This window comes from Homo sapiens, chromosome 21 (assembly GCF_000001405.40).
Source record: "Homo sapiens chromosome 21, GRCh38.p14 Primary Assembly".
Lineage (NCBI taxonomy): Eukaryota > Metazoa > Chordata > Mammalia > Primates > Hominidae > Homo > Homo sapiens.
Genome location: NC_000021.9, coordinates 45,779,557 through 45,798,235, shown reverse-complemented (window position 1 = coordinate 45,798,235; position 18,679 = coordinate 45,779,557). Strand labels below are relative to the sequence as shown.

General features: G+C 46.7%; 1 protein-coding gene across 19 annotated transcripts in view, besides 1 other annotated feature; it reads right to left on the bottom strand.

Moving 5' to 3' along the window:
• Positions 1 to 18,679, bottom strand: part of PCBP3 (poly(rC) binding protein 3) — a 298,726-nt gene that overhangs the window by 144,215 nt on the left and 135,832 nt on the right.
• Positions 12,886 to 13,757: an enhancer, noted in NCBI's record as "H3K27ac hESC enhancer chr21:47204393-47205264 (GRCh37/hg19 assembly coordinates)". NCBI's record gives its function as "activates a minimal SCP1, AML or CMV promoter by ChIP-STARR-seq in naive H9 embryonic stem cells {active_cell/tissue: H9 hESC(naive)}" and the evidence as "EXISTENCE:reporter gene assay evidence [ECO:0000049][PMID:30033119]".

The window sequence follows — 18,679 nt, the reverse complement described above, 5'->3', positions numbered from 1 at the left end:
TACACATCCATTCACTCTCTCTATGGATCCATGCATTCATCCATCCATGCATTCACTCTCTCTATGGATCCATGCATTCGTCCATCCATGCATTCACTCTCTATGGATACATGCATCTGTCCATCCACGTATTCACTCTCTCTAAGGATCCATGCATTCATCCACATGCACATCCATTCACTCTCTCTACGGATCCATGCATTCATCCATGTACGCATCCATTCACTCTCTCTACAGATCCATGCGTTCATCCATGTACACATCCATTCACTCTCTCTATGGATCCATGCATTCATCCATGTAGGCATCCATTCACTCTCTCTATGGATCCATGCACTCATCCATCCATGCATTCACTCTCTCTATGGATCCATGCATTCGTCCATCCATGCATTCACTCTCTATGGATACATGCATCTGTCCATCCACGTATTCACTCTCTCTAAGGATCCATGCATTCATCCACATGCACATCCATTCACTCTCTCTATGGATCCACGCACTCGTCCATCCATGCATTCACTCTCTGTGGATCCATGCACTCGTCCATCTATGCATTCACTCTCCCTATGGATCCATGCACTTATCCATCCATGCATTCACTCTCTGTGGATTCATGCATTCATCCATCCATGCATTCATCCATCCATGCACACAATCACTCTCTCTATGGATCCATGCATCTGTCCATCCATGCATTCAGTCTCTACGGATCCATGTACTCATCTATCCATGCATTACACTCTCTCTATGGATCCATGCACTCGTCTATCCATGCATTCACTCTCTGTGGATCCATGCACTCGTCCATCCACGCATTCACTCTCTCTACAGATCCACGCACTCAACTATCCATGCATTCACTCTCTGTGGATCCATGCACTTGTCCATCCATGCATTCACTCTCTCTATGGACCTATGCACTCGTCCATCCACGCATTCACTCTCTGTGGATCCATGCATTCGTCCATCCATGCATTCATCCATCCATGCACACATTCACTTTCTTTATGGATTCATGCATCCATCCATCTAGCATTCACATTCACTTTCTCTACGGATCCATACATCTGTCCATCCACATATTTACTATCTCTGTAGGCCCATACACCACGCTCTTTCACCCCAAATACTGTACCATGTGTTTCCCCAAAACAACATCCAGATAACCACAGTGCAATGATCAAAATCAGAACATGAGCACTGAGCCAGTATTACCACCTAATTCTCGGCTGATTCTCCATGGCCTGTCCCCAGACACATTACAAATTCATTGATTAAGCCCTCGTATTTAAACTTTATATAAAAATAACACAAGAGGGCCTTCAAGAGCTATGTAATTAGAAATGCTATTATAAATCATGCTTCCATTCTAAGAGGTTTGGGAAACAAATTTCACACAATTCAAACCCCATACAAAGTTTTTTAAAAGACAAAAGAAAATAAGAAACTAAATAACATCTTTACTGACAATAAACACACCATAAAAACATGCTAACAAAAAAGACAAAAACCATAATCAAGTATTTGTTAATTGCCTAAAAGGCATTAATGGTGCAAAAGGTGAAAAAATACAAATCAGAATTAGAAAAACTAAACAACTGAGGTCACAGAACTAGAAAATATGTGGGAATAGAAAGAAAAATATTTCAAAAATAAAGATGAAATTAGAAGACACAAAAAGACCAAATAAACACAACAGACAAAAAATGGAAACTTTAAAAAATTTTTAAAAAAGCAATGAAAAGAATTCAAGAGAAGTGATACATACAGAAGACAGACAAGGAAGTGCAAACACATGTGAACAGCATCCCAAAGAGGAAACTGAGGCAGGAGACACAGCAAAACCTCCAAACCAAATTGTAAAAAGCTCTTCCTAAATGAAAATAAAAACAGTTAAAACTAAGTGCAGGTTGGATTTAATTTTCTAACACTTTACTTATGATTGCACATCTGTTTTCTGAGGGTACAGTTACCTATAGATTTTTTTTTAACAATTCTTGCACAATTTCTACATGACAATATTGCTGAGCTCATCAGATGACTTGGAGAAGTTTTGTTGTTTCTGTACACCAGCATGGTTTATAGACCTCACACATGACCCTCCCTTTGGGACATGCTGAAACCCACCTGCAGAGGGGATCGTCAGGTGGTGTGAGAGTGCAGCCCTCTGACTGGCGTTTTCAATCACTCTCACAATTACGGGTCTTTTCAGACTCATTACATACATTGAGGCAGTTTCGTTGATTTACATCTTTGTAGAAAACTGTTCACTTAGATTTCCAAATTTCTTTGCACAGAGGCTGTAAACAGCAGTCTCTTAGAGTGTTAACAGCTTCCTACCTGCAGTGGTATCTATTTTCCTGTTTCCCAAGTTTTAAGGTTTCACACCTTCTCTTTCTTGATCGAAGTGGCTAACAGTTTAAGTATTTTATTGATTCTTTTTCAGAATTTATTGCACCAAGCAATAAGTTTCCATGCTCTACTGTATTAACCTCTATTTTATCTTCATTCATTTTTCCTACTTTATCTTGAATTGGTTTTAAGTCTTTCTCTAACCTTTAGAGTCATATGGCCAGTTCATTCATTGTAAATGTTTCTGGTTTTCTGACATTTTCTTCTGAGAATTGCTTTTGTGGCATCCCTCATGTTTGACGTGCAACATTCTCTCACTTTCATTACTTTTTAATCAGTATGCTTTATTTAAAGGCATTCCAAAATTCCCAAGTATATAATGACGCCTGGGTTACTTTTGGCTATCATTTTGTGTTTTTTTCCACTTTTACTGCACTTTATGATTTCTGCTTTTGAAAATTAAGATTTTCTATAAAATCAAATACATGGCAGAGATATTTGTGAATGGTCCTGGAGAGAGAGAGAGAAGGTAAAGAAAAGAAAGGAAAGGGGAAAAAAAAAAAAAGAAAAAGAAGAAGACAAGTGTCCTCTGTGTCCCCTTCCAAAAAGAGAGTGGGTTATGAATGCTATTCAAATTCCTCGTAAACATACGGACATTCTGGTCCCTTTGATTTGTCAATTGAAATTTCCCATTATGGTACTGAATTAATCCATCTCTTATTCTTAGAATTTCTTTCTACATAAATTTCACAGCTATGTAATTATGTACATAAAAGTTCACAATGATCGTATCTTCTTAGAGGATTATAAACGTGAAGTATCTTTGTCCCATTTAATGCCTTTCATCTTTTTCACGAAAATGTCGTTGCTGGTCTGCTTTCTAGTGGCTGGCATTGCTCAGTGCCCTTCCCATTAACAAATTCTCTGTTTCTAGGTCCTTTTTTTTTTTTTTGAGACAGAGTCTGGCTCTGTCGCCCGGGCTGGAGTGCAGTGGCGCAATCTCGGCTCACTGCAAGCTCCGCCTCCCGGGTTCACGCCATTCTCCTGCCTCAGCCTCCCAAGTAGCTGGGACTACAGGCACCTGCCACCACGCCCGGCTCATTCTGTGTATTTTTAGTAGAGATGGGGTTTCACTGTGTTAGCCAGGCTGGTCTCGAACTCCTAACCTTGTGATCCGCCCACCTCGGCCTCCCAAAGTGCTGGGATTACAGGCGTGAGCCATTGCACCCGGCCTCTGGGTCATTTTTAAGACAATCTGAGGTCTGCCTTTTAATAGAGAAATCTAACCTCATATTTGAATTAATGTCTTGCCTTATATATTTTCTATGATTTCAAATGTTTTCCATTCTACTCCACCTTTTGGTGAATTGATGAGGTTTTCTTCGTTCTGAAAATTTTCCTGTTCAAGATGTGAAGTCATGCATCTGTCCCTATTCCTCAGGGAGCTCCTATTTACTTAATTTTAGAGGTGGGGTCTCATTCTGTCACCTGGGCTGGAGTGCAGAGGCACGGTCTTGGCTTGCTATAGCCCCAAACTCCTCGGCTCAAGCGATAATCCCACCTCAGCCTCTGGAGTAGCTGGGACTACATGCACGCACCACTACATCCAGCTAATTTGTAAATTTTCTGTAGAGCCAGGGTTCCTTGTAAATCATTTACAATGGTTCCTTGTAAATCATTAATCCATTTAAGCCTTCATTTCTATACTACGGGCGTGAGTAGCATCTATAAATTTCCCCTGAAAAAAACCCTGAAGTTTAGTAAGCTTTCATTTTTCTCCTTCTCATCATTATACAGATACATATGCTTGAGATTTTTATTTCAAATAGTATTTTAATTTGCATACCAATATACACCAACAGTGATTTAGACTAGTACATGTTACACTGGATGCTTTCCTCTCCATTATTTGTGGAATCAAAACTTGTTTTCTTTCATAGATAGTTGTCTTTTTTTTAGTTTTGTCAGGGTATTAGGGATGAGGCTGGTAACCTCTGAGTCCTTCACTATCTGAAGACACTTTTCCTTTGCCCTTCAATTTGAATTCTAGTCTGTCTGTGTCTACAATTCCAGGTTTGAAATCATTTTTCCCGAGTATTTTGAAGATACTGTTCTAATTAAATCTAGAGTACAGTTTCTCATTGAGAAGTCTGATGCCAATCACCAGCCAGAGCTTTGCAGGGGCTATCGCCTCCCGTCTCCTCCTGCAGAGCCCCTGTGGAGTCTCCGCTGTCCACAGTATCTGAAACTCGGTCCTCACAGGTCCTGGCAGCCATGTTTTCCCCGCGCCCACTCAATACTGGTCAGTCCTGTGATGCGCTCTGTGCTCGGGGAGACGATCTTCTAGGATGTCTCCATTATCTTCCCCTCAATATTCTCTCTTTCCTGGTCCTCAGACTCCTGTTAAACAGAATATGGAGCTTCTCAGCATCGCGCTTGGCCTCAGCTTTTCCTCTCGCTCTCCCCGCCTGTCAGTCCTGGAGCTCTGCATCAGCGAGTCCTGGACTCGCTGGTCCTCGGTCTGTGCTCGGGAATAGCTCTCGGTTTTTGACGTCTGAGTGCGGTAACAGTTCTGGGTCTGCGTTCTCAATAGTCCGTGGCTATGCAACTCTTCATGCTGCCCATTCTGTGAGTCCTGCTTTCCTGGCTGTGCCACTTTGACCGTCTACTCTTCAAGGCCTTTGGCACTCCCTTTGAAGGAGCCGTGTGTCTGACCGAGTCTCCGTCCGGAAGGCGGCCCCACGTCTTCTTTCTGCTGTGCTTGCTGCTGCTTTCTCCTGCTGCTGGTTTCCCTCCAGCGTGCTGTGGTTCCCAGCTTGTTGGCAGTTTTGCTTTAGAGAGGCTTGGTTTGCTCATCCTGGATACTGTTCCTGTCTACTTTGGTCAGCCTCGGGTGTTGCAGCAGGGAGAAGGAGGGGTGTCTTTGGACTGCATGTGACAATGTTTCATCTCCTGGAAGTGGCTCCCTGTCCCTCACTGGAGTTGGTGGCTGGCCCCGACACAACTTCTGACTGCCTGGGCCCAAAGCCGGGGGGTTTGAGGGGGATACCTGGCTCTGCTCCTCTGAGTAAGTGCTGCCAGCCAGCCCTCTCCAACTCCCTGAGTCCATTAATCTGCGCTGAGCGTCCTAACTTCCACTCTTCTCTGCATTAGGCCTGTCTGCATGTCTTCTGTGGTGATGTGATTCCACAAACATCGCCTGTTTCTCTCTCTTAATAATCAATCAAGACATCTGGTCCTCTGACTGCAGTCATCCCTGTCTCCTAGCACATCATGAATTTCTGTTGTTGCTGCTGTTTCAAAATTTCTGTCTTTTCTGGAGATTCTGGTTCAGGGTGTCAGTAGATGACTGTTCTCAGGTGACCATCCTGTTACAATCACCAGAAGACTGACTTGTGCTGTCTTTTTTAAAAAAGAAAACTCTATTTAAGTTTTCTTTCCACAGACAATAGATAAGCTAACCTCTTATCCCAGAGGGGCTTCCTGGGAGGGCCCCCACCTTCTCTGCACCTTCATCACTGCCAGACGCTGGCCTCGGTGGGCCAGCCAGACCCTCCACTGAGCCCGCCCCTCCTGGCATCCCAAGGCTGCCCCAGCGGTTCTCTTGCCCTTGCCGCAGCTCTGCGGGTTGCTGCCACCTGCACAGAGACAAGCTACTGTTTCTCCCACTTTCAAATAAAGGCTGGAAACACAATTTTTAAAGTTCTAGTTGGTAAGATTAATCTCAACACAGTAGCCTGGAGCCCCGGGCCTCGCCTCCAACTGCTTCACAGCCTGGCCCTGCGAAGGGTGGCCCTGCAGTGGCCTGGGCCAGGTGGGCTTGCAGTCGGCTTGCCTTGAGGTCCCAGCACAGAGAAAATGGGAGAAGCAGGACTCACACCCAAGCGACTGGAGCAAGGAAAGGAAAGGCTGTCAGCCTGAGGGCGGGCACTGCCCTAAGGATGGGGACTGGGCATGAGGCCCAGCTCCTGAGTGCAGCTCAGGGCTGGAAATGAACTGCATCCTTGCTTTCAGGAGCAGGACCTAACTACATAGTTGCTTTAGGATTATTTAAGCCTTACCCTGCAATTTCTCTGTTGTCTGTAATTACCCTGTGCCACGACCTAACACTTGCTGTGCAGTCAGTCAAGCGGTTGGCAGTTACCAGGGAAACCAAGTAGTACTATTCTCTAAGCTGAAGAGGTAGTTGTATTTTAAAATTTTTTCTTAGTTGTATTCTACTTCGACAGAAATTAACTTATGACTGCCACCAACTGGAAAAAGAAAGTTGTTGGCGGCCACCTGCCTTCCGGCTGTTGCACACCTCCCTCGCGAGCTTCTCTCCTTCCCTAGCCCAGATCACGCCGCGAGACCATCGTCTCCTCTCTGCCTTTGTGTCTGGCTACCCGCTTGGTTCCTTGTCCTTGCTTGACAAAAGCCACACCCTATTAAAGTCTCACTCTCTGTCAATTCCGTGCCTAGACTCTGGAGCTGCACACAACTGGAGAACACAAACGACTCAGTGTACACCAGACCAGACCACAGGCAGGCCACACACACCAGTGACCACACTCACTCCCTGGGCTGGCCATGCTCCCAGCCTTCCAAATTCTACCGCACAAACCTTACACTGACCCATATGAAACTGCCTTTTATCGTACATCAAAAACATATAAATATGCATATCTCATACCGATTCCTGTCTTCAAAACTCCCCCTTCCCACGCTGGGCTGACGACCAACACAGCCTTGTTGTGAGGGGCTTCCTGGGATGGACCCCACCATCTCTGCACCTTCGCCACTGCAAGATGCTGGCCTCGGTGGGCCAGCCAGCCCCTCTACTGAGCCCACCCCCATCCTGGGCATCCCAAGGCTGCCCCAGTGGTTCTCCTGCCCTTGTGAGAGCTCTGCTGGTTGCTGTGACCTACACAGAAACAACCTACTGTTTCTTCCACTCTCAAAACTGGCTTCCTTCCCCCTACTACTCTCTTTTCCTTTGTAGTAAAACTCTTCAAAACTCCACCTTGCTGCCCCAGCCCCTCTGCTGTCCTTCTCCCTCTCCAGAGCACCCCACTTTTGCTTTTGTTGCCCGCCAAGTCTAAAACTGCTCAAGACCCCCAAGGACCTGTGTGAGCTCTGGTGGCTCATTCCTGGCTCTCCCCTTACCCCACCTGTCCACAGGATTGAGACTATCTCTCCTCTCCTGATGAGGCACTGCCCTCAGCTTTTGCGTCTCCTGGGTCCCTCGCTGGCCACTTAGGCTCAGACTCTGCTTGTTCCTCCACTGCATCCCAGCCTGCCAAGGCAGGGGCGCCCCAGGCCTGGGTCCTTGCTCCTCTTCTCTCCACAGACGCCCCCGGATGACCCATGCCATTTCCGGCATAAAACATCATGGAGGGACCAATCAGGCACAAGTCCACAGGCACAAGTCCACCTCTCCTGGGTCTCTCTATCCAACTGTGTGCTCACTGCTCTGCCTGAATGGCACGGCGTCCCACCTTGGCTGCCCTCGATGCAAGTGCTGGACACAACTTCGTCCTTCCTGCTAATCGGGCCTAGAGCCCCGCAGTCACCTCACCTCCCCTGTCCCACAAGTACTTCCTCCACTCTGTTTGAAGGTCCTACCTTCAAAACGGATCCTGAATCTGACCCTCTCATGACGTCCTCGGGACCACCTCTCACCTGGGTCCAGGTGAAGCCTCCTCACCAGTCTCTGCTTCCCCACTGGATCCCCTGAGAGACTATTCTTTTTCTTTTTTTTTGAGACGGAGTCTCACTCAGTCGCCCAAGCTGGAGTGCAGTGGCGAGATCTCGGCTCACTGCAAGCTCCGCCTCCCGGGTTCACGCCATTCTCCTGCCTCAGCCTCCCGCGTAGCTGGGATTACAGGCGCACGCCACCACACCTGGCTATTTTTTTTGTATTTTTAGTAGAGACGGGGTTTCACCGTGTCAGCCAGGATGGTCTCCATCTCCTGACCTCGTGATCCGCCCGTCTCGGCCTCCCAAAGTGGTGGGATTACAGGCGTGAGCCACTGCGCCCGGCCGAGAGACTATTCTCTACCCAGACACCAGAGCGATTTGGCGAGAACCTAACTCGGCCCAGGTCCCTCCCCTGCTTAAGACAAGAAGCACTGGCATGTCCCACCTCTGCTTAAGACAAGAAGCACTGGCTCCCACTCACAGCAAAAGCTCTTAGGACGCCACAGGACCACAAATGACCTGCTCCTCACCTCCTGGAACTCAGCCCCTGATGCTCTCCCTTGCTCGCTCTGCTCCGGCCACACTGGCCCCGGGTTGTCCTCCACCTTAAAGCCTTCGTGCTGGGGACTCCTCTGCCCGGATTGCTCCTCATCCATGGCTCACACCCTCATCTTTCCTTTAACATCACCTTCTTAATAAGGCCAACCTTGACGGCCCTATTGAACACTGGCAACCCCCAACTGCATGTATGTATGCACACATGTGTACACATACACACATGAAAAGACACGATCACAAACACATGCACACACTCGTGCACTCATAGGCACACAAGCACATGTACACATGCACCCACTCATGCACACATGAACTCACATGCACACACTCACCCTCGCACACATGCGGGTACACTACGTGCACAATCACACACATACATGCAATCACACACACACGTGCACACACTATGTATGCACAAACATGCATGCACATTTGCATGTGCAGACACACACATGCACACGCACGTGTGCACACACATTCACTCCTGACCTCTGCTTCATGCCCCCTTCCTTGATCTGCTGAGCATGCCATCTCATTTTCTCAGGTATGAAGTACACACAGGACGGCCAGCTCTGGGGACACAGCCATTGATGTGCACTCACTGTGTTCTAAGCCCAGGACAGAGCAGGGCACAGAGCATGTATTTGGTTACTGTTGGCTGAATAAGTCTGTTGGATCTGGACAGCAATTCAATTCTTCCAGCCTCATTTAGAATTATTGCTAAAACCATTTCTAATTCTGAAATGTGTCATTAGCTCCACTGTGTTTCTAACCTGAGGAGAACTGCCCTGTGACTGGTGAGTCATTAACATTCTGCATAGATGAAAAGTTGACAGTCACCACATACTCCAGATCATGTTGTTTAAGAAATACAACTTTTTTTTCTCATTCCACTACAAATTACCCTGTAAAAGGAAATAGACATGAAGCAGGTCAGCATCTGAGAGGCCGTTAGCATCGTCTCTGAGGGGCCCTCGTGGCGGCCCACAGTGAGTGAGGTCAATGGGAGTCGGGTGCAGTTCAGGGTTAAGAACCTCAAGAGAACGGTCAAGCAAAGGGAGCAACCAGAAGTCAGGATCGGCCCCGTGGGGTGGGAAAAAAGAGGGCAGGGCGTGGGCTGAGGTAGGTCAGCCGACAGCACTGAGGTTGGGGACAGGCAGACATGGGGGCGAAGCTGGGCAGGGCAGGCAGGGTCACAGGTGAGCCATCATCTGGAACAGAACGGGGCCGGGCAGGCAGGTCACCAGCAGGGGTAGACGAGAGTACCTGGGAGTGTCTCCTTCTCCCGGCCTGGGGCCGCCTGTCCTGCCAGCCCACCTGCTCCCCGAGGGTGACACACTGTCCATCTACCAAAAAGCAAGGGAGAAGTATCACGTTACCTGACGAACTTGGCAGGACCCATGCCAGGCACGCCGCCCACACCCTGCGTGACCCTCCCCATCCCTCACCCATCTGACTGTGGGGGGTTCACAGGACACCTTGTTACTTGAATTCAGTACTGCATCCTCCAGAAATGGTCAGACACGATTCTACAGGTCACAGCATGTCCCAGTAAGGAGACACCAGCTGTTCCTGGCTATGCCCTCCTGTCAACTCCTGACAACTGGTGCCCACCTTGCAACTGTAGGTGCCCCCATCTTCCCCCGTAGGTCTCCCCAGTCTCTCCCCGCCTTTGCTATAGTCTGCTAAAAAGTTACCCTTTACTTGCAGGTAGCATTACCTGAGCTATACCTCAAAGCCTGATCTCTTTAGTAAGGCTTTCAACTTTTCCTGTTGCAACAGTCCACATCCTCAGTTATAGCAGAAATACCTTTTTAAAAATCTGGTAACACATTTGTGAAGCGTCAAAGGTGCCTGGCATGCTACAGACCCCAACCAAACTCTACTGTCTAGTGGAGCAAAGTGACGGAGAAGCAAGGCCCTACCCTGTGGACAGCCATTAGCCCTAGCCTGGGATGTCCCCCACTGCTGTGTGGGCAGGAATGCCAGTGACCACCAGGGCCCAAGCAGGGGGACTCGCTTTGTTCCCTGGAGGCCCCACCATATAATTTAGGCAGCAAGGAAACACTTCCAAAAAACTCGGATGAGGCCAGGCACAGCGGCTTACACCTGTAATCCCAGCACTGTGGGGGGCCAGGGCGGAAGGATCACTTGAGCTACGGCTGGTCTGGAGTTTGAGACCAGCATGGGCAACACAGGGAGACCTAGTCTCTATTTAAAAAAAAAAAAAAATTAGCCAGGTGTGGTGACACGCGCCTGTAGTCCCAGCTACTCAGGAGGCTGGGGTGGAAGGATCACTTGGGCCCAGGAAGTTGAGGATGCAGTGAGCTATGATCACGCCATTGCACTCCAGCCTGGGCAACAGAGCAAGACCCTGTCTCAAACAAAACGAAACTCAGATGAAACGTCAAGATCCAGCTGTTATCCTAATGAATTACGTTCCAGAAACAGGCACTGATTATGAACACATGCAAAATCTTAAAAAGGAGGCGAAACTATTTTCAAGCATTTTATGATTTCCAAGAACGTTCAGGCTTATTACAATATACCTAGTATTTACCAGATTAAAAAGCAGGCACTATTATGATTTTTATAGATGAGGATCAGGCTCAGAGAGGGAAGCAGTTGGGAAGGGTCAACAGCTGGAAATTCTTTATGCAGAGTTGCAGCACGGGCCCTTTCCATCCCAGCAGGCTGCACGCCGCTAGGGGACCCACGGACTCTCATGGAAGGAGGCAGGAGACAGGTTCTAATAATTTCTTCAGAGGGTGTGGGTGAATTCAGGACACACTGCTATTTACAGCATTTTAATGACTATTATTCTGTGTTCCTAGGAGCAGTCATGGTGCCAGAACATTCCTGCTGTGCAGGCACCCCCAAATTGCAGGTGAATTACTTCACATCATGTCTCAGGTTTCCCAATTACTAAACAACAGGAACATACCATGAGTTGGAACGAACGTAGCAATATATGTAATTCTCTTACTAACAATAATGACTTAAAATTATTTGTGGCTTAGGTGGTTTTCATAACTCTTCAAAATGATACTTAAGACCAGGCGCGGTGCCTCACACCTATAATCCCAGCACTTTGGGAGGCCAAAGCAGGCAGATTACCCGAGATCAGGAGTTCGAGACCAGCCTGGGAAACGTGGTGAAACCCCATCTCTACTAAAAATACAAAAATTAGCCAGGCACATTGGTGGGCGCCTATAATCCCAGCTACTCGGGAGGCTGAGGGAGGAGAATCGCTTGAACCCAGGAGGTAGAGGCTGCAATGAGCTGAGATTGTGCCATTGCACTCCAGCCTGGGCAACAAGAGCAAAACTCCATCTCAAAAAGAAAAAAAAAAAAGATACTTAAATATAAAGAGTAAAAATGTCAACAATGGAAAACAAGACTCTCTCCTGTTATGCAGAGCTCACTGGCACTATTTTTTTTTTTTGAAACTTTTTATTTTTTTTGGAAACTTTTTACTTTGATATGATTTATTTATTTATTTATTTATTTTTTTATTGATCATTCTTGGGTGTTTCTCGCAGAGGGGGATTTGGCAGGGTCACAGGACAATAGTGGAGGGAAGGTCAGCAGATAAACAAGTGAACAAAGGTCTCTGGTTTTCCTAGGCAGAGGACCCTGCGGCCTTCCGCAGTGTTTGTGTCCCTGGGTACTTGAGATTAGGGAGTGGTGATGACTCTTAACGAGCATGCTGCCTTCAAGCGTCTGTTTAACAAAGCACATCTTGCACCGCCCTTAATCCATTTAACCCTGAGTGGACACAGCACATGTTTCAGAGAGCACAGGGTTGGGGGTAAGGTCACAGATCAACAGGATCCCAAGGCAGAAGAATTTTTCTAGTACAGAACAAAATGAAAAGTCTCCCATGTCTACCTCTTTCTACACAGACACGGCAACCATCCGATTTCTCAATCTTTTCCCCACCTTTCCCCCTTTTCTATTCCACAAAACCACCACTGTCATCATGGCCCATTCTCAATGAGCTGTTGGGTACACCTCCCAGACGGGGTGGTGGCCGGGCAGAGGGGCTCCTCACTTCCCAGTAGGGGCGGCCGGGCAGAGGCGCCCCTCACCTCCCGGATGGGGCGGCTGGCCGGGCGGGGGGCTGACCCCCCCCCCTCCCGGACGGGGCGGCTGGCCAGGCGGGGGGCTGACCCCCCCACCTCCTCCCAGACGGGGCGGCTGGCCAGGCAGAGGGGCTCCTCACTTCCCAGTAGGGGTGGCCGGGCAGAGGCGCCCCTCACCTCCCGGATGGGGCGGCTGGCCGGGCGGGGGGCTGACCCCCCCACCTCCCTCCCGGACGGGGCGGCTGGCCGGGCGGGGGGCTGACCCCCACATCTCCCTCCTGGACGGGGTGGCTGCCGGGCGGAGATGCTCCTCACTTCCCAGACGGGGTGGCTGCCGGGCGGAGGGGCTCCTCACTTCTCAGACGGGGCGGCTGCTGGGCGGAGGGGATCCTCACTTCTCAGACAGGGCGGTTGCCAGGCAGAGGGTCTCCTCACTTTTCAGACGGGGCGGCCGGGCAGAGATGCTCCTCACATCCCGGACGGGGCGACAGGGCAGAGGCGCTCCCCACATCTCAGATGATGGGCGGCCGGGCAGAGACGCTCCTCACTTCCTAGATGGGATGGCGGCCGGGCAGAGACGCTCCTCACTTTCCAGACTGGGCAGCCAGGCAGAGGGGCTCCTCACATCCCAGACGATGGGCGGCCAGGCAGAGACACTCATCACTTCCCAGACGGGGTGGCGGCCGGGCAGAGGCTGCAATCTCGGCACTTTGGGAGGCCAAGGCAGGCTGCTGGGAGGTGGATGTTGTAGCGAGCCGAGATCACGCCACTGCACTCCAGCCCGGGCACCATTGAGCACTGAGTGAAGGAGACTCCGTCTGCAATCCCGGCACCTCGGGAGGCCGAGGCTGGCGGATCACTCGCGGTCAGGAGCTGGAGACCAGCCTGGCCAACACAGCGAAACCCCGTCTCCACCCAAAAAATACGAAAACCAGTCAGGCGTGGCGGCGCGCGCCTGCAATTGCAGGCACTCGGCAGGCTGAGGCAGGAGAATCAGGCAGGGAGGTTGCAGTGAGCCGAGATGGCAGCAGTACAGTCCAGCTTCGGCTCGGCATCAGAGGGAGACAGTGGAAAGAGGGTAGAGGTAGGAGGTAGGAGGTAGGAGGTAGGAGGTAGGAGGTAGGAGGTAGGAGGTAGGGGTAGCGGTAGCGGTAGAGGTAGCGGTAGAGGTAGAGGTAGAGGTAGAGGTAGAGGTAGAGGTAGAGGTAGAGGTAGAGGTAGAGCTGTCACTATTAACATTCCCTGGTGGTCCATCCAGGAATTTTCTACACAGGTAGGAGTGAAATGTTCATGCCTTTTCTATACCTGCCATGTTATTCTTTACAATCAAAACACCTTAAATTTTTTTTGAATCAGCACATTCAGAGCTACCTTGGCACAAAAAGTGAAATATTGTACATTTTTTATTTCAGAGGTGTTAGCCAGAATCTTCTCCACACTGGACTCTGCAAATTACATCCCTGTCAAGGTAGACAAGGGGCTCTTTCACACCACTGCTTACACTATTCACTCTCCAATGTTTTAACCTTTGACAAACTGAAAAGCACAAAAATGTTACCTCATCATTTTACTGTTTTAAAACTATAAAACTGCAACCATTTTCAGTGAGTCTGAGTTCTTTTCTATGCTCACTGAATTCCGTGCTTTGTGTGTGTGAAAGTCCTGCTCACGGCCTGGTCCAGGAAGGAGAATAACTGATGGCTCCCCAAGGGTGAGGAGGAAACTGCCATCTTCACACCCTCACCACTGCTGGCGTGAGTAGGTTATCCAGCTGGTTTTGGTTCTTTTACTGGTAATCACTGAACTATGTTCTTAAATCCCTACTAGCTCATCAGTTGGCCCCAAGAGCACAGGGCCATCTTTCCAGCCCTGGCCTCTGCAGCTCAGGCCGTGCACTGACCTCCTCCATCACCATGGCTACCTTGTGAAGCTTGCAACGTTAAAATCCCGTCCTCACCCTAACTTCTCACTCCGCTGTGCGCTGTGCCTCTGGGAGGCCACCGCCACTCTCTGTGACCTTCCCCCCTTCTCCATTCCTCTTTTGGCCTCTGGTTCTATCTCCAGGAGCTCTTTCAACAATGCTTGTGAGAATCACTTTTCCCAAGTTCTTACAGGTTGCAAATGTACTGTTGAGAATATCATTTCTTTCTCTAAAGATTTTTGTATACTTTGCTACACTTTTTTCTACCATGAAAATTGTGGTGAAAACAACTCGGACCAGCCTGATCATCCCTGATACATAACACAGACATCAATAGAAAAATGGCTGAAAACCAAGAAAAGCACTTCATGAAAGAGGAGCTCCAAATGGCCAATCGCACATGGAAAGATGCTCAGCCTCATTAGTGACGGATTGTAAATTAAGATTTACAAATTAAAACCAAAACCATATTTCTGCAATATTACTCCATATAGTTTATTTAGCATATTTTTGGGCAAAAATGTCATTATCTGGGCGAGAAAGGGGGAAGATGTTGCTTTCCAAAACTTGGTATAGCTTTTGAAGAGCAATTATGGAGGAAAGTGGTTGCCTGAATGGTCATTATATGAGATCAGTCTGTATTCTGCTAGTGGGAGTACAAACTACATGAGAAAGCCAGAATGGCATCAGTCAGCAAAGCTGAAGCTCCGTGTAACCTGCGACACAGCAGTTCCACTCAGCGACATGCCTCACAGAGAAGTGTATGCTGTGCCCACCACGAGATTGTGCCGTATGCCGGCTGGGCTCCTTGGAGAGCAATGGACCATTTTAAAATCTGGTTGCTTTTAAGATTTTTTTTGTCTTTGGTTTGCAACAAATAATGATATGCCCAGATGTGAAAAGTTTGCTTGCTTGTTTGCTTGCTTTTTTAATTTGTTCATTTCAGGGTAGGCTGTTTCATGAATTTGAATATAAATGTCTTTTGATGCTTTAGAAAAATCTCTGATCTTTATGTCTTCAAATATTTTTCTGATCCCCTACTTCCTGGGATGCTCATTACATGACATTTGACCATTGACTCCATCCTGCAGGCCTCTTGCATTCTACCTTGAATGACTCCATCCTTTTTTCTGTTGTGCTTCAACACAGACTGACTGCACTGAACTGCCTCCCAATGCACTGTGCCTGTTTTCTACTGTGTTCAGTCTTCTGTTAGGCATGTCTAGTAAATTATTAATTTCAGATCCTATATGTTTCAATTCTAAAATGTCCATTTGATTCTTATTATAGATGATTCCACTTGAAATTCTCCATCTTTTCATATATTTTTCTGTCTGTTTCTCTTTTTTAAAAAACATACTAATCTTAGATATTTCAAAGTTCTTATCTGGTAATGCAATTATACAAATCATCTCTGGGTCTATTTCTCACGTTTTTATCTCGTCTTTCACTTACTGTTCTTGTTTTAGCATGCTTTAAAATTTTTTACTGAGTACTGAACATCATGGTTAAAAAATAATTGAGACTATGGACAATGTTATCTTGCTCCAAAAAGGAATGCTGCTTTCTTTGGGGGAAAAAAAAAATCAGCTTTGAGATATATAATGGAATACTGAATGAACTACTGATACACATAACGGCACTGACGAATCTTGAGAGTTATGATGAGTAAGAATAGCCAGACCAAAAATCGTAAGTATATATATTGTGCATTTCCATTTATATAAACTTTCAGTGAAAGTAAATTCTGTAGCGTCAGAAGGCAAGTGAGTGGTTGCCAGGTAACTGACATATAATAAAATGTACATATTGTAAATATGCAAATTGAAATGTTTTAACATATGTACACACCTATATGGATACACTTCACTCAGTATTCCATTATATAGATGTACAACAATTTGTATAGCCATTCAAGTATGGATAGACATTTGCAATATGAACAAATTGCTACAGATGTTCCTGTTCAAAGGTGTATGGAAATATGCTTTCACTACTCTTGGGGAAATACCTTCTAGTGGGATGTTGGTAGGTACGTATTTAATAAGCTCTTGGTTTGATTGCCAAAATGTTTCCAAAGTAACTGTACCATTTCCCATTCCCACCAACAGTATATGAAAGATGCTTCCCATCCTTGCCCATACTTAGTATGGTCAGTTACACCGAGTGGTTTCTCATCGTGGTTCTCATTCACATTTCCTTGATGACAATGACGCTGAGCATCTATTTATGTACTTATATGCCAGTCACATGTCTTCGTTTGTGAAATGGATGTTCAAATCTTGCAGCCATTTTTGTTTGTTCTTTATTTCCTTAGTACTGCATTTTAAGAGTTCTTTACACATGTTAGATACATTAGATATGTGATTTGCAAATGTTTTTCCCAGTCTGTGGCTTGTTTTTCCATTCTCTTACCCATGTAAGAGAATGTAGTGAATTTTTATAATATTATGTTGCCTCAGAATCCATTCTGAATATAGGTTGGACTTTCTTATACCAGGAGCAGGGCTTGGTCATCCTTGACAAACTTTCCAGTTCTCTACCTCCTCCCGGGTCCTCAAGGTGGTTGATCAGATATCTGCCTTACACCACAGCCTCCTGGTGATCACCTTCCTGTGGGACAGCTAGACACAACCTACTTGATTCCCCCACTTACCCCCACAGCCCAAATGACTGCCCAGATGTACCCCACTGACACCTTCTCAGTCAGTGTGATCCCACGGAGCTTGTGGCTGCTTGATCTAAACCCACAAACTAAAATTCCCTGCAGGAAACCAGCTTGAGTAATGCCCTAGACTCCAATAAAAGTGTTGGCGCATCGGTCCCTGGCTCTCTCTCTCTCTTGCTCCCCACCTGCTGGTTGAGTGCACATGTCCCACATGGCTTTCCACTGCCTACTGGCCCTGCATGGCTGTCCTCTTCTCTCTGAGATCATATTACTTAATACAAATGCTTCCATTGCTTCATGCTCTGCTGTGCTGTCTCCTGTGTGTTTCACCCGAGCCACACACCCAGACCCAACTCTCCTGTCCTGATCAGGCCTCTCTTAGAGAGTGGCCACCCTGGCAAGAATAAACTAGACACAGTCAGACAAGGGCCACAAGGACATCAGCCAGCATAAACAAGTTTCACGTGAAAGGGACACCTCGTCACAGGTTGGACCAGGTGCCTAAGTAGGCATTAGACTGCCTGTCAGGATAAAGAAGAATCCCATTAAAGTATACTGTAAACATCTATGACCTTGGAGCCCCATCAGATCATAACTAGAATTTATAACCTCTTTCCAGAGAGAGACTTCAATATCAAATCAGAGGAAAAAATCACAACAGTGTATCTTGAAGAGCAGAAATTTTTTAATTTTATGAAGCCCAGTGTATAAATGTGTGTATTTTGAGACGAATGCTTTGAAAGTCATAACTAGGAAAACATTGCCTCACGCAAGATCACACGGTCACAAAGAACGCCTCACGTTTTCTCCAAGAAATTATATATTTTTGAGTTTTAGAGATTGAAATTCCTGATCTACTGTAATTTTTATAAATGACAAAAAGTATAGGATTTTTTTTTCACATGGATATACAATTATTCCAGGACCATTTGTTTAAAAAGCTATGCCTTTTCCCACTAATTTGCCTGGGCGCTGTTGTTGAAAATTAATTGGCCACGTTTGTGCAGGCCTATTTCCAGACTTTCTATTCTGATCCACTGATCTACTTGTCTATCTTAACAGCAATACCACACTGCATTGACTATTGCAGCCTATAATAAGTCATAAAACCAAGTACTGTTATAGTCAAATGTCTATGAAAAGCCTTCTGGGACTTTGATTGGGAGTTCATTGATTCTATAGATCAACATGGGGAGAATTAACATCTTAACAATATTGAGTCATCTTAACAACGAACATGGTATATCTCTCAATGTATTTATCTTCAACAATTTCTGTTGGCAATATTTTGTAGTTTTACGTGTTCAAGTGTTGAACATCTCTTGTCCAATTTAGATTTCTAATGTTATTAAAAATAATATTTTTTTCATGGAGAGGAGCTTCAAGATGGATGACGAGATGCAATTTATGCCC